Genomic DNA, 23751 nt, shown 5'->3' with positions numbered 1-23751 from the left:
GGCAAGTATTTTATTTTTAAGACAAGAGTCTCCCTCTTGCTGCCCAGGCTGGAGTGCAGTGGCATGTTCATGACTTACTGTAGCCTTGACTTCTTGGGACCAGGTGATTCTCCCTTAGTCTCCTGAGTAGCTGGGACCACAGGCGCATGCCACCATGTCCAGCTAACTTTTTCTATTTTTCGTAGTAGAGATGGGGTTTTGCCCTATTGCCCAGGCTGGTCTCGAACTCCTGGACTCAAGCAATCTGCCTGCCTTGGTCTTCCAAAGTTCTGGGATTACAGGCACGAGCCACCATTCCTGTCCTTTACTGTATCTTATAGATTTTTAATTCATAAATATCTGGTAGGGTTGATTCCCCTAGTACAGTTCTTGGAATGTATTAAAAACTGCATTAAAAAAACAAAAACTACTTTTGGTTGTTTGGATCATGTTTCTTTGAATATGGTTTCATTCAGATAGTGGACCTCATAGGTCCAGATGTCATAAGGGTTACCCATATATACCCAGTGTTAACATGTTGAGAAAAACGGAAAACCCCATAGTGGTCATGGAGAGGGGATGACAGATTACTGAGATTTTCTAAAAACTTATTTCTCTATTATTTGGATTTTTATATTTATTAAAAAATTACTTTCATTATCTATCTATCGATCGATCGAAAAGTAATAGTGGAAATGATATCAAACACTTATGAAAACATCCAAGTAAGTTAAAAGCTGTTATGTTCTCTATCCCTCCAAAGCAGATGGAATATTACTATTTTTCATGACTTGATTTACTAAAATATTGGTGTTTGTTATTATCAAGTCTTTTCTGAGCAATCTTTATAACCATACTGTTTACGGAGATTTACCTTGCTTTCAGTTTTTGAGAATACTACTTTCAAAAGTAAAGGAGATTGTTTTAAAAATCATCAAAGAGAAACTTTACATGAGGTCTAATCTTAAAAATGCCTTCAATTTTGTATTTTTTAAGAGCTAAATGTGGGTAAAGTATAGGACCACTGCATTTACAGTCCATTATTTTTTCCACCTGAGAAGAGTAAAGCACCAGAATGCACTGCTCACCTAGATGATGAATGGGCTATCAAGAATTATTAAGTATCTCTTCCTAATGAAGGGGAAAGTTTAGGCTTTCACATTCATAAAATACCCAAAAAGTAGACTGAAAAAATGCAAAGACAAATCTCCAAATACTATCTCACCAATGCTAAGGTGATTCTGACTGGAATTAGAATAACAATATTTAACTTATTCTTTGATCAAGTTTTTAATAAGCTTTTTTCTTACATGTACAGTCATCTTAAAAAGACAAATATTAACTATTATAAGTTAAATACTATACAATTTATGAGAAATGTAATTTTGTGAATTTGAAAAGTAAAAGGGAGGTAACTACTAAACGGATTAAAGAAGAAAATTCTACTTTTTAAGACATTTTAACCAGACAGAAAGTGAGAAATTACTAATTTAAGTAAACACTAAAAACTTTTACTGAAGCTGGAGACCTTATACTATTTTAGATCAAGCCTTCATCTACACAGCTTTAAATAAACTTTAAAAAATCTTTTCTAGTACATATAAGACTGCTAAAAAGAGTGCATGACTGGGGGAAAAAAGGCATATGCTAGAATGTGAACTCCTGAAGAACAGAAATACATTTCATTCATCTTTATCCCTGGATTCCTAACACAATGCCTGGTTCAAACTAAAATGCTTAAACAACGTTTGCTGCTTTGAAGTGAACTGGGGCAAATACATCTTTCCACCTCTGGTCCAGTTTTCACTCCATATTAAGCACATCTGAAGTACCTGAGCTGCTCCTGGCTGTTGGCTTTTGACTTTAAATTGAGTAAGGTAAGCCAATATGCATACATTTTTTACATCAGCTTTCTCACATCAGCCTCAGAACCAAATCATCACTGGGCTGGGAATATTCTCACGTACTCCGATACTTATTTGTTGGACAACAGTTAATATCAATGTGCAAAAGTAATGCATTTTCAATGCAGGATAAATATGCTCTTATGAATATGAATGGAATAAAGGCCCTGTTTCTCCATGTTTTAAATAACAGATACATAGCATCTTAAATTATGACTTAATTAGCAGTTTTTAGACACTGAACATAATACACTGTATTACAATGCAATGTGGTAGGCTTCCATTTTAGGAACCAAAATAAATTTCACATGAAAAAATATTTATTTTAATTCACATCAAATACATTTAGAATAAATCTAAATTTTTAGCATCATAATACTTACAAACAAACACAGATAAACTTTGGGTGTATAAGTCTCCATTCTGTCCTAAAAGCATGTACAAAAAGCTCTCCTGCAACTATTGATCATCACCTCGTTGCCTTAAATTTCTAGATTTTCCATTTTCAGTTCTTCTCTTTTTGAAGACTGGGGCCACTCCATCTGCCATAACTCCAAGAGAAGTGACTGTTTTTTCTTTAAATACCACTTTGGGTTCTCCGCCACCATCAGCTTCTGAAGTTGATACATACTCATTTTCAGTGCTTGGAAGTTCCAAATCTACCTCCTCACTGGAAATAGAGTTAAAGTAAAACTCTATTTGACAGGGTAAGACAAACGTTTTCATATAACCAATGCCCCAAGATCAGCTTTCTAATGACATTAGAAGTTGCTCATTTTGGAGTAGGAACTACTTTAAAATACTGACTTTACAATATTATTTAAGATACTGAACACTTATTCAGGTGGATAAATGCTGGGAGAAGTTCTATGTATTAATTTATTCCTGTTGCACAAAGGATGCATTATCTAAGAAAATGCTTGGGCTTATATATAAGCAGTACAAGTAAAGGGATAAGGGGGTTGGGTGCGGTGGCTCAATCTTGTAATCCCAGCACTTTGAGAGGCCGAGGCAGGAGGATCACTTGAGCTCAGGAGTTTCGAGATGCGCCTGGGTAACATGGCAAAACCCCATTGCTACAAAAAATACAAAAATTATCTGGGCATGGTGTCATGTGCCTACAGTCCCAGCTACTCGAGAGGCTGAGGTGAGAGGATCACTTCAGCCTGGGAGGCAGAGGTTGCAGCGAGTCGAGATCTCATTTTCCTATTGTAGAAGACTGAATGGAGCTGTATGCCTAGCACTCCTTTGCTAAGAACTAGCCCTTCAACCATCCACATGATTAATTATAAATAATCAGTTGAGTGGTCCTGATATCAGCACCTGATTAAAAAGAGCCTATCACAGTACCGTACTCCCTAGATAGTCAACTGGTCTGTGAAAGAGTAAATTAGTCACATCACACCCATCAGTCCCATCTATGAGACTCTGGAAAATGGACCGGAAAGATCGTTATGTTTAAGTAGCTGAGAGCGTAAAACCTGTTGAAAAACACACATCATCCTATTTGGAGAATGGAGCTCTGCAGAAGGCAATCTATTCCAAGGATTTTTTCTTTTTAGGACAGAGTCTTGCTCTGTCTCCCAGGCTGGAGTGAAGTGGTGCCATCATAGCTCAAAGCAGCCTCCAACTCCTGGGCTCAAGTGAACCTCCTGCCTTAGCCTCCCAAGGTACTGGGCTTATAGGCGTGGGCCACTGCACCTGCCTGGCCAGCAAGGACCTTCTTTGCTATCAGTTATCATAGGCTGTTTTAAGTTATAAAACTAAATAGCAACACTGAATCCTATAGAAATGTACTTTGCTGAGTAATACTTGAGTTGCTGCAATATTTGCTTATCTATTTAGTTTTTACATTTTTTTTTTTTTTTTTTTTTTGGAGACAAGGTCCTACTCTGTTGCCCAGGCTGGAGTGAAGTGGTGTGAACATGGCTCACTGCAGTCTCAACCTCCTGGGCTCAAGTAATCCTCCCACCTCAGCCTCTCAAGTAGCTGGGAACATGATGTGTGCCACTATTCCCTGCTAAGTTTTTTTTTTTTGGTAGAGAGAAAGTTTTGCCATGTTGGCCAGGCTGGTCTCGAACTCCTGACCTCAGTTGATCTGCCTGCCTTGGCCTCCTGAAGTGCTGGGATTACAGGCGTGAGCCACCTCACCCAGCCAAGCTATACTTTTTCTTTTTCGAGATGGAGTCTTGCTCTGCTGCTAGGCTGGAGTCCAGTGGCGCGATTTCAGCTCACTGCAACCTCCACCTCCTGGGTTCAAGCGATTCTCCTGCCTCCACCTCCTGAGTAGCTGGGATCACAGCTACATGCCACCACACCCAGCTAATTTTTGTATTTTTAGTAGAGACAGGGTTTCACCATGTTGGCCAGGATGGTCTCATCTCTTGACCTCGTGATCCGCCCACCTCAGCCTCCCAAAGTGCTGGGATTACAGGGGTGCATCTGGCCTCAAGCTATACTTTTAATAAGCACAGCATCCTTGAAATTACTTACTGCAATTTAGGGAAGTACTGGGATGTAAAATCACTTGTAATAACAGTGGGATTAAAGCTCCAGGTACTTACTGAGACTCAACCTCTTGTTTAATTTCTTGCCATTCTCCATATGGGTTTGATTTCTTAAGAGTTTTCGATTTTTCTTCATTTGAACCTAATGAATTCTGTTTCTGAATACTTTTTTCTTTCTGTGTTTCTGGGTCACTTCCTCCATCACTATTTTTATTTTTTTCCTGAAATGTAAAAGCCAAGAAATAATACAGTTCAAGCAAAACTACCAAGACAAAAATAAAATTTAAGGCTTTTAAAGGTATTGTTATAGATTTATAAACAATAATTCACTAACTCAAATCTGCACATAACACAATAAATATACATAGAACTTTACTGCTTGATTAGGTTTTCCATGTCTGAAATGTTGATATACCATGACAAAGGCTCCCTAAATCACCACCTTAATGTCTTAAGTTCTACAATTAAGGACATATAAACAGGGCTCTCTTAACTTCTCTCTTCTGCTTTCTTGCTTTACTTGCATACCCAACAGTGACTCCCTTTATAATTGTGGCTCTGTTGAATTCTTCTGGGAGGCGGCAAGATTATAGGGAGTTTGTCCTTGTTTACCTGTATTTTGTAATTTTTTTCCTTTTCCTATAATTTATCTTTTAAAAAATAACTTAGGGGGCACAAATGCGTATTTCTTACATGTATATATTATGTCATGGTGAAGTACGGGCTTTTAGTGTACCTATAACCTGAACAGTGAACAAACCCAATAGACACATGTTCAACTCACCTCCCTCCCACCCTCCCACCTTTTATGGTCTCCACTGTCTATTAGTCCATTCTGTATGTCCATGTGTGCCCACTGTTTAGCTCCCACTTATAAGTGAGAACATGTAGTATTTGACTTTGAGTTATTTCACTTAGGTTAATGGCCTCCAGTTCCATTCACATAGCTGCAAAAGCTATCATTTCATTTTTTATGGCTGAGTAGTATTCCATGGTGTGTGTGCGTGTGTATATATACCGCATTTTTTTTATCCAATCCTCCGTTGACGGACACTTAGGTTGATTTACTTTTTGCTATTGTGAACAATGCTGCTACAAATATATGAGTGCAAGTATCTTTTCTGTTTAATGATTTCTTTTCCTTTGGGTAGATACTCAGAAGTGGGACTGCTGGATTGAATAACAGTTCTGCTTTTAGTTCTCTGAGAAATGTTTTCTATAAAGGTTATACCAACATACATTCTCAGTAAGTGTATAAGTGTTTCCCTTTCTCTGCATCCTTGCCAGTATCTGTTGTTTTCTGATTTTTTTTTTTTTTTTTTTTTGAGACGGAGTCTTGCTCTGTCACCCAGGCTGGAGGGCAGTGGCATGATCTTGGCTTACTGCAACCTCTGCCTCCCAGGTTCAAGCAATTCTCCTGCATGCGCCACCATGCTCGGCTAATTTCTTTTGCATTTTTAGTAGAGATGGGGTTTCACCATGTTGGTTAGGCTGGTCTTGAACTCCTGACCTCAAGTATCTGCCAGCCTCAGCCTCCCAAAGTGTTGGGATTACAGGTGTGAGCCACTGCATCCAGCCATTTTCTGACTTTTTAATTACAGCCTTCTGACTGGTGTAAGATGGTATCTCCTTGTGATTTTCATTTGCATTTCTCTGATGATCAGTGATGTTGAGCATTATTCATGTGTTTTGGCCACCTGTGTGTCTTTTGAAAAATGCCTGTTCATGTCCTTTTCCCCCTTTTCAATGGAGTTGTTTTTTTCTTGTTGAGTCCCTTGCGGATTCTGGATATTAGTCCTGTGTTGGATGCATAGTTTGCAAACAGTTTTTCCCAATATGTGGGCTGTTTATTTACCCTGTTAATTGTTTCTTTTGCTGTGCATAAGCTTTTTAATTAAGTCCCTCCCATTTGTCTATTTTTATTTTTGTGTTTACTTTTGAAGACTTTGTCGTAAATTCTTTGCTTACGTCAATGACCAGATGAGTTTTTCCTAGATTTCCTTCTAGGATTTTTTTTTTCTTTTCCTTTTTCTTTTTTTGAGACAGAGTTTCACTCTTGTCGCCCAGGCTGGAATGCAACGGCACGATCTTAGCTCACTGCAACCTCCGCCTCCCAGGTTCAAGCGATTCTCCTGCCTCAGCCTCCCAAGTAGCTGGGATTACAGGCATGCGCCAGGACACCCAGCTAATTTTCTATTTTTAGTAGAGATGGGGTTTCTCTATGTTGGTCAGGCTGGTCTTTAACTCTCGACCTCAGGTGATCCGCCCACCTCGGCCTCCCAAAGTGCAGGGATTACAGGTGTGAGCCACCATGCCTGGCCTCCTTCTAGGGTTTTTATAGTTTCAGATCTTTAAACATTTAAGTCTTTAATCCATCTTAACTTTTGTACATGGTTAGAGGTAGGGGTCCAGTTTCATTCTTCTGCATACAGCTAGCCAGTTTTCCCAGGATCATTTATTGAATGGGGTATCCCTTCCCCAGTGTATATTTTTGTTGATTTTGTTGAAGATCAGTTGGTTGTAGGTATGTGGCTTTATTTCTGGGTTCTCTATTCTGTTCCATCAATCTATGTGCCTATCTTTATGCCAGTACTGTGCTGTTTTGGTTATGACAGCCTTGGAATATAGTCTGAGGCCAAGTAATGGGATGCCTCCACCTTTGTTCTTTTTGCTTAGGACTGCTATGGTTATTGAGGCTCTTTTTTGGTTTCACATAAATTTCAGAATTGGCTTTTCTAATTCTGTAAAAAATGAAGTTGGTAATTTGATAGGGATTGTGTTGAATCTGTAGATTGGTGTGGCCAGTATGTCATTTTAGTGATATTGATTCTTCCAATCCAGAAGCATGAGATGTTTTTTCATTTGTGTGTATCATCTATGATTTCTTTAATCAGTGTTTTGTAGTTCATTTTGTAGGGATCTTTCACTTCCTTGGTTAAATGTATTCCGAGATTTTTTTTTTGTAGTTACCACAAATGGGATTGAGTTTTTTATTTGGTTCTCGGTTTTACCATTATTATATAGATATAGGTATACAGAAATGCTACTGATTTTTGTACAGTGATTTTGTATCCTGAAACATGACTGAAGTCACTTATCAAATCCACGTGTGTTTTGGAGGGGTCTTTAGGGTTTTCTAGGTAGTAAGATCATTTAATCAGCAAACAGAGATAGTTTGACTTCCTCTTTTTCAATTTGGATGCCTTTTACTTCTTTCTCTTGCCTGACTGCTCAGGCTAGCACTTCCAATATTATGTTGAAAAGGAGTGGTTGAAGTGAGCATCCTTGCTTTCTTAGGGAGAATACTTTCAGTGCTTCCCCATTCAGTATAACGTTGGCTGTGTGTTTCTCATACATGGCTCTTCTTTTTTTTTTGAGACAGAGTCTTGGTCTGTCATCCAGCATGGAGTGCAGTGGCACTATCTCAGCTCACTGCAAACTCTGCCTCCCAGGTTCAATCGATTCTCCTGCCTCAGCCTCCCAAAGTGCTGAGATTACAGGCATGAGGCACCGCACTCGGCCTCATATATGGCTTTTATTATTTTATTATTATGAGGTATGTTTCTTCTGTGCCTAGTTTGCTGAAGGTTTTTATCATGAAAGGATGCTGAATTTTAACAAATGCTTTTTATCTATTGAGCTGATTATATGGTTGTTTTTAATTGTTTATGTGGTGAATCACATTTATTGATTTGCATACTTTGAACCATCCTTTCATCCCTGGAATAAAGCATCCCTTTATCATGGTGTATTAATCTTTCTGATGTACTGCTGGATTCAGTTTGCCAGTATTTTGTTGAAGGTTTTTGCATCTATGTTCAGCAGGGTTATTGGCCTGTATTTTTTTGTTGTTGTTGTTGGAACACATTCATTTTGACGAAAATAAATTAATCATTTCTATCCTAAGTTGGATACTGGATTACCTAAATCTGGCTGGCTATAATCATTGTGAGATGGCAATTACAACGAAGGCTTTGCTGCTGCTCCTCTGTAAACTGCACATAACCCTTACTCTAAGTTCCATCAAGATTTGTGAAGTTGGTAGAGAAACTGCAGGCAATGACAAGATCCTAGGTGTAACTAGGTATTTAGGAACTCTGATTTTCCTACATTTCTCAGGCCAACAATCGCAACCATTGCTCAATGCTAATAATGTGTCTCCTCTGCTTTGACTCATGGGCTCCTGAGTGTTCCCGGTTTTATTTATCCAGTTGCCAAAATATGTCTTAATTTCTATGTTCTATCAGAAGACTTAAGGTCTGTAGAGCTTTTCAAAAATTGATGTCAGCTGGGCGTGGTGACGCACGCCTGTAATCCCAGCACTTTGGGACGCCGAGGCAAGTAGATCACGAGGTCAGGAGATCAAGACCATCCTGGTTATTAACATGGTAAAACCCTGTCTCTACTAACAATAAAAAAAATTAGCCGGGTTTGGTGGCACACACCTGTAGTCCCAGCTACTCGGGAGGCTGAGGCAGGAGAATTGCTTGAACCCGGAAGGTGGAGGTTACAGTGAGCCAAGACAGTGCCACTGTACTCCAGCCTGGGGACAGAACAAGACTCCATCTCAAAAAAAAAAAAAAAAAAAAAAAAAAAATTTGATGTGAAGAGTAAAATTTAAAAACCTACCTTAAACTTTATTTTTGGCTTTTCTGTCTCTGTAGAGACCCCTCCTTCTTCTGCTTCCTGTTCCCCATCAGAATCACTATGCGAATCTGATGATTTGGATTCATCTAGGGTGCCAAGTGAATTTTCATTGACCTTACTAGAAGGCAGATCACTAGTGTGTGGAATGAAATCATCAGGTTTCTCCCATCTGGATTCTGCTCAACACATTTTAAAGTCATGTTATTTAGTTATTAATTCTATTCAGATGTAATTTCAACATAACATTTATCACTTACAATTATTAAATGACAATACTGTATGTATTTCATACTATCTCTTGATCAAGAAGATAACAGAGTTCTCAAACCTCTTGCTCTTGTATCTTTCAGAAATTGATTTCAAACAGCCCGGATTTACTAGATGTGTAAACTATAACTCCAATGGAATGAGAGACCTAAGAACTGGGTGATATTTCTAACGGTTCACAATTTATCTGACACCAATTTCAGGAAACGTATTGATAATGAGCAAACAAGAGATTTCCTGAAACTTGCTTATCACAGAGATTTCCTTTCCTGGCCCCAGTGTGCTGGCTTATGCTTGTAATTCCAACACTTTGAAAAGGCGAGGTAGGAGGATTGCTTGAACTCAGGAGTGTGAGACCAGCCCGGGCAACATAGCGAGAACCTGTCTCTACAAACAATTAAAAAGTTAGCAGGCATCATGCCATATTCCTGCAGTACCCACTACTCAGGAGGCTGAGGCGGGAAGACTGCTTGAGCCCAGGAAATAGAGGCTGCAGTGAATCATGATTGTGCCACTGCACTCCAGTCTGGGGGACAGAGCAAGACCTTGTCTCAATTTAAAAAAAGAAAAAATTCCTAAGATTTTCATGGAGTGAAATTACATTGTGAAGCACTAAGTGAATATTAAATTCTCATTTTTATTATGGTGGTTTGGTGGGTGGGGGGGCAGCAATGGGAATCTCAATTGACTGAACTCTACTGCCATCCAGTGGTTCATTGGGCTTTTAGTAAAACAATAATATTTCTAATTACCTTGTAATTAATTCCCTACTTTCAACTGGGAGAGTTTTAAGAGTGAAAGGGGCTGCCGTTAGTAATTATTCTGGTCCAGGAATAAACCAAAATCATTCAAGGCAAACCAATATATACAGCACCTTAATTAATACAGAGTTCTTGGCAGGATTAATGAAAAAACATTACTTTTCCTAATCCACATTTCACACAAGTTAACAATAGAACTTTCAAGAATTTATTTATTTTATTTTTATTTATTTATTTGGCGTGATCTCAGCTCACTGTAACCTCCACCTCCCCGGTTCAAGCGATTCTCCTGCTTCAGCCTCCCGAGTAACTGGGACCACAGGCAAGCGCCACCACGCCCAGCTAGGTTTTGTATTTTTAGTAGAGACAGGATTTCACCACGTTGCCCAGGCTGGTCACGAGCTCCTGACCTCAAGTGATCCGCCTGCCTCAACTTCCCAAAGTTCTAGGACTACAGGTGTGAACCACCACGCCAGTTCAGGGAGTAATTTATTTAGCACCTACTATGTGCCAAGCACTGTTATTGGAACTTTATGACATATGACATTCATGACCTTACAGAGCATGCATGTTTATTCTATTTCACTGAAGAGTGACTATAGGCTCAGTAACACCCACAGTCACATTGCTGGTAAGGAAAGAAGCTGTGCATTGAACTCAGATCTGTCTAACTCTAAAGCTATATTATATCACTATACTATTTTATATGTATAAAAATCCCAACCTTCAATTGTACTGGAATATAAACATTGCTATAACTGGGCAGGCTAAATATCTACTTGGAGGTTAAAAGGGCCTTTTCTTCCTAAAAGATTTAATGCTATGCAATGAGCTAATGATAACAGGAATTAAAAAAACAAAAACAAGCCTCTCCTAAAGTTACATTAATGTTATAGCTGTTCTGATAAATTCAACTGTTTATGATGTTAAATTAGATGAAACATTAATTTGAAAGTTTTAGGGCCGGGCGCGGTGGCTCACGCCTGTAATCCCAGCACTTTGGGAGGCCGAGGCGGGCGGATCACGAGGTCAGGAGATCGAGACCATCCTGACTAACATGGTGAAACCCCGTCTCTACTAAAAATACAAAAAATTAGCCTGGCGAAGTGGCTGGTGCCTGTAGTCCCAGCTACTTGGGAGGCTGAGGCAGGAGAATGGCATGAACCCCAGGGGGCAGAGCCTGCAGTGAGCCGAGATTGTGCCACTGCACTCCAGCCTGGACGATAGCAAGACTCCGTCTCAAAAAAAAAAAAAAAGTTTTAGATAACAATTAGTATTTATGCATGCTTCGTAAGTATTTATGCAACTGAAACATTGTTAAATTTTCACTTTTACTAATTTGTTAGACACTACTAAATAGCTTCAGTTTTATTTTTTATTTTATTTTGAGACAGTCTTGCTCTGTCGCCCAGACTGGAGTGCAGTGGTGCGATCTTGGCTCACTGCAACCTCTACCTCCTGGGTTCAAGTGATTCTCTGCCTCAGCCTCCTGAGTAGCTGGGACTACAGGTGCCCACCACCACGCCCGGGTAATTTTTTAGTAGAGAAGGGGTTTCACCATGTTGGTCAGGCTGGTCTCGAACTCCTGACCTCAGATGATCTGCCCGCCTTGGCCTTCCAAACTGCTGAGATTACAGGCGTGAGCCACCGCGCCTAGCCTACTTTTTTTTTTTTTTTTGAGACAGAGTTTTGCTCTTGTTGCCCAGGCTGGAGTGCAATGGCACGATCTCGGGTCACTGCAACCTCCGCCTCCCAGGTACAAGATTCTCCTGTCTCAGCCTCCCAAGTAGCTTGGATTACAGGCATGTGCCACCACACCCGGCTAATTTGTTTGTATTTAACAGAGACAGGGTTTCACCATGTTGGTCAGGTTGGTCGCTTAACTCCTGACCTCAGGTGATCCACCTGTCTTGGCCTCCCAAACTGCTGGGATTACAGGCATGTGCCACTGTGCCCGGCCACAGTTTTATTTTTAAAAAGGAAAAGGCAAGTTGAGCCAGATGATCTCTAAGCTACCTTCCAAGGTAATGACTATATTTCTAAAATAATTATAAAAATAGTAATGTCAGAGAAAGCTAAAATGATTCTATTTTTAAGTTTGTGAATGCAATATCAACTGAGAATAACATTGGTGAACAGCACAACATAATACGAATATAAATCTTTTTGCTTTTCCACTGTATTGTTTTTAAATTACAAAAAATAATTCATGTTTACTACACAAATATGTTTATTGTATACTAAAATTTCCAAGTTCAGATGATTAATCAGCAGGCCAATAAGCAGTTCCAGGTACAATTTTAAACAGTTAAGATAATCAAAGGTAATACTTACCTCCTGTTTCTGTATTATAGTAATAGGTAAAACCATCTTCACTTAAACCTTCTACCCAAACGGTCTTCACTGCTGTCTAATAGGAGGAAAAAAACCCAGCATAAACTAAGGATAACCATGATTTTCTATTGAATAACTCAGACAGTCAGCCACCCTTGCCTCTCCTCCTGACACCTGGTGATATCATCTCGATCTGCATCCCCACCCAAATCTCATGTAGACTTGTAATCCTCCAAGTTGGAGATGGGGCCTTGTGGGAGGTGACTGCATCACAGGGGTGGTTTCTCATGGTTTCAACACCATCCACCTTTGGTGCTGTTGTTGAAATAGTGAGCAAGCTACCCTGAGATCTGGTCATTGAAAAGTGTGTGGCACCTCCCTTTGCTCCTGGTCTGGCCATGTAAGATGTGACTGTTTTCCCTTGGCCTTCTGCTATGATTGTAAGTTTCCTGAAGCCTCTCCAGAAGCTCATGCCACCATGCTTCCTGTACAGCCTGCATAACTGTGAGTCAATTAAACCTCTTTTCTTGATAAATTACCTAGTTTCAGAAGTATTTCTTTATAGCAATGCAAGAACTGACTAATACACCTGGGTATTAGGGGTGGTAGTACTAATCATGGCCAGGAAGCTTGGTTTTTGCTAATAAAGAACCAACTTTCAAGCAGTGGATGTCTCACCTTTGAAAGCCAGGAACAATTCCTTCCAAATGGACAGGAACATGTGAATGGCAACTGACGGCAAACCAACTAATATTTGCCCTGAATGCAGTTTTTGGATAGATATCAGTACTTTTTTTTTTTTTTTTTTTTTTGAGACGGAGTCTTACTTTGTTATCCAGGCTGGAGTGCGGTGGTGCAATCTCGGCTCACTGTTAACCTCTGCCGCCCCAGGTCCCAGTGATTCCCCTGACTCAGCCTCCTGAGTAGCTGGGATTACAGGCAACTGCGACTGCGCCTGGCTAATTTTTTTGTAGTTTTTAGGAGAGATAGGGTTTCACCATCTTGGCCAGGCTGGTCTTTAACTCCTGACCTTGTGATCCACATGCCTCAGCCTCCCAAAGTGCTGGGATTACAGGCATGAGCCACTGCACCCAGCCAGATATCACTATTTCATCTCCATCCAGCCTTCTAACAAAAGCATTATGGGAAAAAAAAGGACACAGTTTGGGGGTGGAGGGAGTGGAGTATTTGTAAATAAAGTTGCTTAGCAAAACTCTACAAAAACCTAAGAAACGAATCACTGTAAAGAATAAAACAAAAACACTATTAATATGCTTCAATTACCTTTTTTAAGTCTCCTTGAAATCCTTCAGGTTTCTCCCACTGAGATGCTTAAAGCAAAATATATTGCATTTATAAAATCTTTTTGCTTTAAAAAAATACTTTCCAAAAAATTTGGACAAAATTTACAGTCATTATGTACAAAACACTACAGGTCTACAATTTAAAACATATTTGAAAAATAAAACAGAACATACATCCCAGTACTGTGCAGACAATATATGTGAATGCTACGTAACCAAGAAGAAAGGACAGAACGAGGGATTAGAAGTTACTGGAACTTCCACAGGAATTTTAGAGCCAGGCAGGGCTTCTCATAAAGGTTTCACAGAATTCAGGTCTGATAAGTTTCAAAGGCCTTTTGATATCTTGGGGCAAGGGAGAGTGAGAGATAAACTGAATAAGAACTCAGAAGAGGAACAACTAGTATGCAGAAATTAAAAACATGTATCATGGAGAGGAAGAGTATATAAAGTAGGATGCTGAAAAAGAGAGGCAAGCAATAAGCATTGGAAGGGAGAAATGAAATAACAGTTTATAAGTAAATTTGAGAAAGACTTCTAATTGCTAGTACATAATCATTTATGATATCTTCATTGCTAAACTACAATATGCATGTCACTTAAAGCTCAGTGCAAACTCTAACGGATTAATATTTCTACATAGTCCAAAGGTAATTATGATCCTAATGATAATAGTCATTACAGTAAGATTGTTAGCCCAAGGATTTCTTCATGATTAACTCTCTGATCTTATTTCCTACCTTCCTAGCATTCTTAACCTTCTTTTGCTGGCTTTTCTTCTATCCATTCCTTTAATATATGTAACACTCACCTTCTTTACTTCTTGCTCTATTCTCTCTGCTTGCGATCTCATATACTCCTAAAGGCTAACATATTATCTACATCCCCAGACTCAATTTTGCTCAGCTCCACACTGTAACCATCAATTAGCTACCAAAAGCTGTCATATGAATATTCTGTAGGTACCTCATATTCAACGTATCTAATTCATTATTGTCCCCATTAAACTTATTTTCAGTTCCTTATCTCGTATCTAAGTAAATGGCACCATCATTCTCTCAGCCCTCCATAAGATGGCTCCAATCTACCTTCCAGTCTAACTCTACTAAGACGTCTTCAAAGAACTGCATGTTTTACCTCGACCACTATTTCCCAATACTTTCAAACCTTTTTTGGGGTTCATATTGTTCTGTGTGGATTCTGTACCTCTTAATTATCTACTGAAGTCTTCTTTAATCAAAACACAGAGTGTCTACACTGTGCTAGGCACTATGTTAGGCGCCAGGAATACAATGGTGAGTAAGGCATCATTCCTGATGTCCCTATCTTAATTTAGAGATCAGCTCAAAAGTAATTCCTATGGTAATCTCTCAAAGCTACATAATCACAATGAATTCAACATTATTATGAGTTCCCATATAATCTTAATTACACTTCTATTATAGCACTTTAAAATTCCTCCTTTTATCAAGCTTATTTATTTGTCGCTAAATTTTATGACTCTGGAGAGTAAGATGCTACATAAATGTAGAATAAATGTATTAATTTATTCCAAAATGTATACGGAGTAAAAACCCCAAATACATTTAGTTTTTAGGAAAAACAAAAAAAGATGTTTTTGATATTGTTACTGTAAAACGACACTGTGTATTTTTTTTTTCTTTTTTTTTTTTTTGAGATGGACTTTCGCTCTTGTTGCCCAGGCAGGAGTGAAATGGCGCGATCTGGGCTCACTGCAAACTCCATCTCCTGGGTTCAATTGATTCTCCTGCCTCAGCCTCCCAGGTAGCTGGGATTACAGGCATGAGCCACCTCGCTTGGCTACTTTTTTTTTTTTTTTTTTTTTTTGAGGCAGAGTCTCGCTCTGTCGCCCAGGCTGGAGTACAGTGGCCCAATCTACGCTCACCGCAAGCTCCGCTTCCTGGGTTCAGTGGCCCAATCTCGGCTCACTGCAAGCTCCGCCTCCTGGGTTCACGCCATTCTCCTGCCTCAGCCTCCCAAGTAGCTGGGACTACAGGTGCCCACCATCATGCCTGGCTAATTTTTTGTTTTTTCAGTAGAGACGGGGTTTCACCATGTTAGCTAGGATGGTTTTGATCTCCTGACCTTGTGATCTGCCCATCTCAGCCTCCCAAAGTGCTGGGATTACAGGTGTGAGCCACCGCGCCTAGCCTAATTTTGTATTTTTAGTACAGATGGGGTTTCACCATGTTGGTCAGGCTGGTCTTGAACTCCTGACCTCAAGTGATCTACCCTCCTCGGCCCCTCAAAAGTGCTAGGATTACAGGCATGAGCCACTGCATCTGGCCATGGCACTGTGTATTTTTCTGTTGGGTATCAGTTTCCAGTAAAATACACAATGTCATTTTTCAGTAACAATATCAAATCAATCAAGGCAGCTACAGAAAAAAGAAATCAGTTACTGGCTCCCAGAAGAAAATCTCTACTGTAGAATATTTTATTTCAAGTACCCCTACAATTTGTGAAGTGGATTTGAAATTCCTTATTTCTATGCAAAATTCTTTATTTCCATGTAGTTTATACTTACAGAAGTTTCTATTGAGAAAATATAAAGCTATAGTTTATTTGTAAGAAAGTCATTATCAAAGGCTTTGACTAAGTATGACACTTAGTCACTATGAGAAGGGTACCTTTTTAAAGGGCACACAGTTTTCTTACCTTTGGGGCAAAAATGAAAAACCGGTCTTTCACTATTTAAAGTGCTCCAACATTAGATAAAAATCCTAACATAAAATAAATTGTTCTATTCTACTAGTGACACTGTTCTTTACCAGTTTTATGCCTAAATGACTTACCTCCTGAGATAAGATCATAATAGTAATGGTAACCCTCAGAGGTTATGCCTTCTACCCATCTGCCCTTTGAAGGATCTTTTTTTCTTTTCTTCTTTTCTTTCTTTTCTTTCTGTTGATTTGATGTCGAGGTAGGTGGGATAGTGCTGGTTACTGGTGTTATGCTTGGCTCCAAAATTTCTAAAGAGATGAGAGAAGGGTAAAGCAGCTATAGTAACTACTATTTTTTATGGTTGCTGGCATAAAACATTAATGTTATTCCAATCAAAAACCTGATAAGGTTCTTTTGAGAACTTAACACATTATTATAAAGTTCATTCGGAAAAATAAACATGTAAGGGAAGGAAAACTGTAATAAAAAGAAAAAGGAGAATTTAGTTCTACCAGGTGTTAAAACTTATTCTAAAACTATGGGTTAAAAAAACAGCCAGCAGTGTGGAACTGACATAGAAATAGGCAAGCATATAATTGAAACAAAATAGTCCAGATACAGAGCCAACTTCAGGTTGGCTGGTATTTCATATCAGAGGATAAAAGACAGATCATTAAAAAAAGAGGTTTTCAAATTACCTACTGGGTACAACGTTCACTATTTGGGCAATGGGTATACTAAAAGTCCAGATTCCATCACTATGCAATATATGCATATGAGAAATCTGCACTTGTACCCCCTACATCTATATATATATTAAAAAAAGGAAATAAAGAAAGCATGCTTAAAAAGAAAGTTTTTAGATTAACTGATTAATTATTTGGGAAAAAAGTAAAGCTGTTCCCCACTACCTGCTCCCTTCCCCCCTTTTTATTAAATACTAGGTCAAAGATAGTTACAAAAAGAACACAAAGTAAAATAATGTTAAATTTGACTACATAAAAATTAAGATATTCTGTATGACAAAAATAAAAAGAAAAAACATATATAAGACAAATGAAAAAATATTTACAATAAATATGGCAAAGGGTTAATATTCCTAACAAAGATCCTTTACAAATCAAACATTCTAATAGAAAAATGGACAACAATTACAAAGACAATTCAGATAATTAACATTTACTTTTTTTTCTCTTATGTTGTCCAGGCTGGAGTGCAGTGGTGCAATCATAGCCCACATTAGTAGCCTTGAACTTCTCAGCTCAAGCAATCCTCCCACTTTAGCATCCCAAGTAGCTGGGACTACAGGTGCGCACCACCAAGCCCAGTTAATTTTTTATTTTTATATTGTAGTAGAGGTGGGGTCTCACCATCTTGCTAGGTTGGTCTTGAACTCCTGGGCTCAAACAATCCTCCCACTCCGGCCTCCTAAACTGCTGGGATTACAGGCATGAGCCACGGCACCTGGCCAATTAACATTTACTTTTGCTAATATTCAAAGAAATGTTTTGTTGTTGTTTTGCAGAAGATCAATAAGTAGTGAAAAGAATGACCAAATCCAGTATTAGTTTGATAGATCAGGTATTTACATTGCTTTGAAAAAATGGGTAGTTTTGGTGGGGGACAGTGGCTCACGCTTGTAATCCCAGCACTTTGGGAAGCCCAGGCAGGTGGATTGCTTGAGGCCAGGAGTTCCAGATCAGCCTGGGCAACATGGCAAGACCCCGTCTCTACCAAAAAATCGCTGGGACTGGTGACGAGCTGAGGTGGGAGGATCACTGGAGCCCGGGAGGTCGAGGCTACAGTGAGCCATGATTTTGCCACTGCACTCCAACCAGGTGACAGAGCGAGACCTGTCTTCAAAAAAAGAGAAAAATAGTTTTTATGGCTTTACTTTCCAAAGGATTGGCTAGTTACTCCTAAAACGGGTTAATAAACTTATTTTTGTTCTAATGAAAATGTACATCAGTCCATTTCTGGAGACAATGTGGTATTAGCTATCAATATAAAATATATTCACACTTTTATACTGTAACTTCCAGAAACTGAACCTACAGAGAAAAATAAGTGTAAAAAGATACATGCATAAAGATGCTTAATGCCGCACTCTTTACGACAGTGAAAAATGCTAAGCAACCTAAATGTTAACCAGGAAAAGATTAAATAAATTATAGTACAGAGACAAAATAACAGTGGCTACCATTTATTCACCATTTGTTATGTGTGGTCACGTAATAAGCAATTTATACCATAATGTTACTTAGTTTTAATAAAAATCAAAAGTCATAACTAGCAAGAGGAAATTCTGCTTGACTCCAAAGTCTGCTCCTACCATATAAAAATGATACATCTCCCTAATTAAAAGAAAAGATACATTTGATATATCACTGAGGGAAAAAATAAAACAACCGGCAAATAGACCGCAGCACAAAATATGTAATTTAAAAAAAGATCTAAAGAAGAGGTCTGCAAAAAATCTTAACAGTTAGTGAGTTTTTAAAAACTCTTTTCTTTGTACTGCATTGTTGTATGTTTGAATATGTATCCTATTTGGAAAAACAAGGCTATGGTAATATTTAATAGGAAAAATCCATTTAAATATAAAATGGTAAAATTTATTTGCTCAAAGGGCAGCATAATGGAATGTCTCAATGCATATAATTGATAATAGTTGGACTCTCATCTATTCCTAATTCTCCAGGAATGCCTAAATCCTTTTTCCTTTCAAGATGAACATATGGCTTTATCCTCAAGGAACCAAACAACTTTCCCACCTTTTAATTACCAATGTCCAGGATAACAAAGTCTGGCTACAACTGTTCTTATTTAATGAACACAATGCCAATTAACTTAACTGGTACTCTGCTTAAAACCTTAATTGAAAGCTGTTTTTATTAGAGGAATACCATCACATGTTGATGACTGCAACCACTAGGTAAGATCAACAACTGAGATCTGCTATATGCCTGGTTTAAGGAAAACGGATTTGATATGGAAGAATTATTCACAAAACCTTCCCAGTTTAAAGCCTAAATTCAATGACAAGATAGATGCAGTCTAGTTAAATAAGGTCTTTCATCTGGAACTTCCTTCTAGTAGTAAATATCTGCCTTCTACTAGTAAAATCTGCTAATTGTCCACAAAAGGCTAATTCACTACATATTCACCCATATAAATATACAAGACTCATAATTTTCACCATATGGACACAGTGAATTGCAATTATAATGCAAGGCCTATTTTTAAATGAATAGTGTCTCTTAGCCAAATAACTAGAATACCTAAAAAACTCAAAGTGTCTCTGAAATGAACCATTTACCTAGGATAGAACTAGGATTAGGTGACCACAAAAGTAGTATGGCTGCTATGAATGAAGGTGTTAAAAGATAAAACATTAAAAGTACAACAAAAGGGCATAAGCAAACTTCCATAGTCTAAACAGGGCTATGATGCATAATAAAAGCACTGAGAGTACACTGAGTTTATAACCTCTTTATGGAAGCAATCAAAGCTTACTTAGCTTGACCTCTGATGTTACTTTTAAAACATGCTGGCTGCTTTTTTTTTTTTTTTTTTTTTACCTGACTCTAAGCCAAGTCTTTTCAAATCCTCTTGGTATGCTTTCAGGGCAGCTGCCTCCATTGCAGCAAACTCCTTTGATGCCTTTTCTTCTTCCTTTGCCTTATCCAGGCTTTTCTGTTTAATCTATGTAAGACATACATAACAGTGAAAGTGAGATAAAGGACTGACATTTGCATAGAAAAATTAGCAAATAAACAATCTAAATTACCTCACTGATCCTTTTTGCCACATTTTCCTTATGATTCTTTCCTCTTTCATGAAATTCAACACTCTTGAAAATGAAAAGAGAAAATAACAAAAGAAAACTACATAAACATCATAAAATTCATAGTAAACATAATTTTCTCATAAACATGAGAAAATTAAAATTAAAATGAATGGCAGAAAAGATGAAAACATTAATTTAATGCAAATTGGCCCTTTTAATCAAATGATGCTAGGGAACTACATTGTTTATTATTATGTCCTCTGACTAGGTTTCCTTTGGTTCTTAAAATAAACCATGATGACCTTATTAATGGAGAAAAATACAAGGTACCCTTGATGACTAATCTAGTGACTATGATTGTAATGAGGACTCAAACGTGACATGAAGCCAAAAGACTGGGGAAAAAAATCTTAAACAACTTTCAACATCAAAAGCCTTTAGAATTTTATTGCTCTATTTGTCACAAGGAGGGACATAGAGAACAATGATTTTATTGCTTTATTCCTTAAATTTAGGAGAAAAGTATGTATTTTAAGATTCCTCGTAAATTATAAGCAAACACTTTTATACAATGTGGTAATGGTTCAAAATGTACAACTTCTATGGAGGATAATTTGGCAATATCTATCAAGACTACAAATACATTTACCCTTTGACACAGCAATTTCATTTCTGGTAATTTATTCTATAGATATACCTGCACATGTACAAAATCATGATATACACAAGCTTACTGACTGCAGCACTGTTTGCAATAACAATACGGTATCCATCTCTAAGGGACTGACTGGTTAAACTATGGTACATTCTCATAGTCTACTGTAACAGAGAGAAAGAAGCTCTTTATGTATGGATACAAAGGGAGCTCCAGTTACATACTGTTAAATTTTTTAAAACTAGTGCAGAATAATATATACAGTACATTACCTTTTATGTATGCTGGAATAAGAACTTGTGTCTACATGCATGTAGAAACAATGGAAGGATAGGCAAGAAAATGAAAAAAAAAAATGATAACCTATGGGGAGTGATGGCCACTAGATGACTGGGGACAGGGGCTGGTGAGTGAGCGCAATTATCTATTTAAACAATCAGAAATGCTCCCTAAATTACAAGTTTCTAGTTAAATGCAGTAAGAAATTCCTCACAAGCTCTGCAAAATAAGTTCTGTCAATCAAATCTTACATGATGCATTAACTGAGCTATTTTAAAATACTACCATGAATTCATCTTTAAAGTGTGACTTTGTAAAGCAGATAATCCTCCTGTTTTTCATACATTGCGTTTCCTAAAGTTGATTACACTACACAAAGAATACAATATTAAAGGACCATTCAAAATTAAATTAATTTTGTTTCTAATTAAAGGTTAAATCAATGTGTATTACCAACTCAAGAAGATAAAGACAGACTACACTGGAAGGGATTACTTACTCTAGATAACTCACAAAATTCATTTTACAGCCTAGGTACCTCCAAGAAAGAGAGACTTTAAGTGACCTGTGTGGTTTTAAAAATTCATGGTATTTATTTATAAGGATAGCCTAGGTAAAATAGTGAAGAACTTTAGCAACTATCCAAAAAGACCAAAACATCAAAAAAAAATCCAAATCCTAAACACCTTGCAGGTAACAGGAAATAAATGTCTACAGAAGAAATCCACAGCATTGTTAAAATATGAGACTACTATTCTTTGTGCATCCAACTTTGCCAAGTAAAAACGGTATCAACATAAAATATATTTAACAGATACCCTAGTGTTTATGTGGTATGTACATAGTATTTTGACATGCAAGAGGGGAGAAAAATCAGCGGTGTGCTTTTTGCTTTACATCTTCAAAACTGGATCTCAACTATGAGACAGACTAACAACATACCTAACAGAGTTGTTACTTTGTTTCATGAGAAAGGAAATAATGGTGTTCTTTCAAATTTAAGCATCTAAAGATACACAGCTCTGCATTAAATACACTTGATTATTTCTAGACCACAAAATATACAAGAAAAACTAAACATGTTGCTTTTATTTTTTAAGGGCTTTCCACAATTCTTTGGGTATGACAGTATTATGAACACCACCATTATAATATAGGTGCTTCATAACATGAATGATATGACCAACTCATTGCCCATTTCCCAAAAGGCCACAGAGAAATAATTTAATATATAATCAAAGTCAGGTTGATGAAAAGGAAGAAGGCTCACAGCTTTCATAGGGGACTGAGAAGACAGAAATCTTCTGATGTTTTGAAAATGCAAGAGCAATGTACATAAAAGTGCTTTGTAAACTGAGTTTACATCAAAAAGGAGCACTTCATTCAACACAATTATTATTAGAATCTCTAACAGCGGAATTATCATACAGGCCTATTGTCTGCTATCCAGCACTTGCAGTAATCACAGAATTTCTTTGGCTGTGACTTCCAGTAGTCCGCCCTGAAAAAGAGAGACAACAAGGCTAAGCTCATGTAAAACTTAAAAAAGGTTAAATTCTGCATGCTTTACAGTTTTTAAAGTTTGAAATATATGCCCCTGCTACTGAATCTTGTCTTGTTATGTATAGTCGTTTTATTATTTATCTGGTTGGAGCACAGTCAATTGAAATTCTGTTGCCAGCGGAGTAGAAAAAGTCTGTATCTGATTCATTACAAAACTCCCTTCAATAAAATGGCTTTCAAAAATTCCTCACTTGTTATCGTCATCGTTATGAAAAACTAAGGAACATCTTAGAAGAACATTTATCCTTTCTGGCTTTGGGGGAGGTTGCTGTAATGGAAACCTGAAGAAACTCATAAAGTTTGCCTTAAATCAAGTTATTCCCACCAAGAGAACAACGTACAAGACTACTCTGGGGAAAACTGTAGTTCCTCCCAGACTCTCAGTTAAAACAAACTGTTCTTGAGCCTCAAGGCAAGAGAGAACTGGAAAAGCCATGGGACTTCGTAGACGGCCGACAAAAAAAAAAAAAAAAAAAAAAAAAAAACCATTACGCTATCCAGGGCTGGCCGCTTCCAGTGGGCGGGGGAGGCCGCAGCCCAGCCCTAGTTTCACAATACCCTAGGGTTCAGGGGCTTCGGAAACCCAAGGGGTGCATGCGACCCCCGACAGCGTCGTAGAGAGAGCACTGCGTCGCTTCACCCGCGGCCGTCCAACCAGCCCCCTGAACCGGCCGCCGGCCTCCCCCTAGAGCCCGTGCCCCATACCCCAGGGCGTTCAGCGGGGTAACATTTCTACCCCGCCCTGAGAACCGGCCCTGCAGGTCTGGGGCCGGTCCCGAGCGAGTTAAGAACGCGTCTGTCACGCCCCCGGCCGAAGGGCGGGAGGAGAGGAGGGGAAGACCCGGGCGAGAAAGGGCGGCCCAGAGAAACAACACCTCGTTGTTCAGGGCCTGAGACCCAACTCACATGACTGCGCCAGCCGCTCTGCAAGTCGTCCAGGGTTCCACTCAGACTCGCGCTTTCCCAGCGGGACGAGTCGAGCTCTTCCAGCCGCCCGATGCCCACCCGAACCTCCCTCCGATCCAGACACCTTACTCAGTCCCCGGGACCAGCGTTCCGCTGTTCCCAACTACGGG

General features: G+C 38.5%; 1 protein-coding gene across 3 annotated transcripts; it reads right to left on the bottom strand.

Moving 5' to 3' along the window:
- Nucleotides 1-1250: 1250 nt before the first annotated feature.
- Nucleotides 1251-23748, bottom strand: WBP4 (WW domain binding protein 4). Of its 3 annotated transcripts, none has more exons than NM_007187.5 (10): nt 23582-23748; nt 22541-22613; nt 20179-20241; nt 19970-20093; nt 16520-16696; nt 13684-13730; nt 12400-12475; nt 9020-9213; nt 4448-4611; nt 1251-2553 (listed from the first exon to the last, which is right to left on the bottom strand). In NM_007187.5, coding segments are annotated over exons 1-10 (1131 nt in total). In that variant the 5' UTR covers nt 23584-23748; the 3' UTR covers nt 1251-2342. The 3 variants fall into 3 exon arrangements, with proteins under 3 accessions (NP_009118.1, XP_005266302.1, XP_047286027.1); XM_005266245.3 differs by lacking the exon at nt 23582-23748 and adding an exon at nt 23017-23131; XM_047430071.1 differs by lacking the exons at nt 13684-13730; nt 19970-20093; nt 20179-20241; nt 22541-22613; nt 23582-23748 and having other exon boundaries at nt 16520-16600.
- Between the last annotated feature and the right edge of the window lie 3 nt (nt 23749-23751).

Source organism: Homo sapiens, chromosome 13 (assembly GCF_000001405.40).
Source record: "Homo sapiens chromosome 13, GRCh38.p14 Primary Assembly".
NCBI classification, from domain to species: Eukaryota; Metazoa; Chordata; class Mammalia; order Primates; family Hominidae; genus Homo; species Homo sapiens.
This window is presented reverse-complemented; position numbering and strand designations above follow the sequence as displayed.

Excerpts from the sequence above, each read along its gene's own strand:
- WBP4 (XM_005266245.3), bottom strand. The coding sequence starts at position 23,111 with ATGGCTTTTCCAGTTCTCTCTTGCCTTGAGGCTCAAGAACAGTTTGTT. Across the intron at positions 22,614-23,016 it reads GTTTTCCCCAGAGTAGTCTT|GGCGGACTACTGGAAGTCAC; the intron begins GTACGTTGTTCT and ends TCTCTTTTTCAG. Across the intron at positions 13,731-16,519 it reads TTATGATCTTATCTCAGGAG|CATCTCAGTGGGAGAAACCT; the intron begins GTAAGTCATTTA and ends TTTTGCTTTAAG.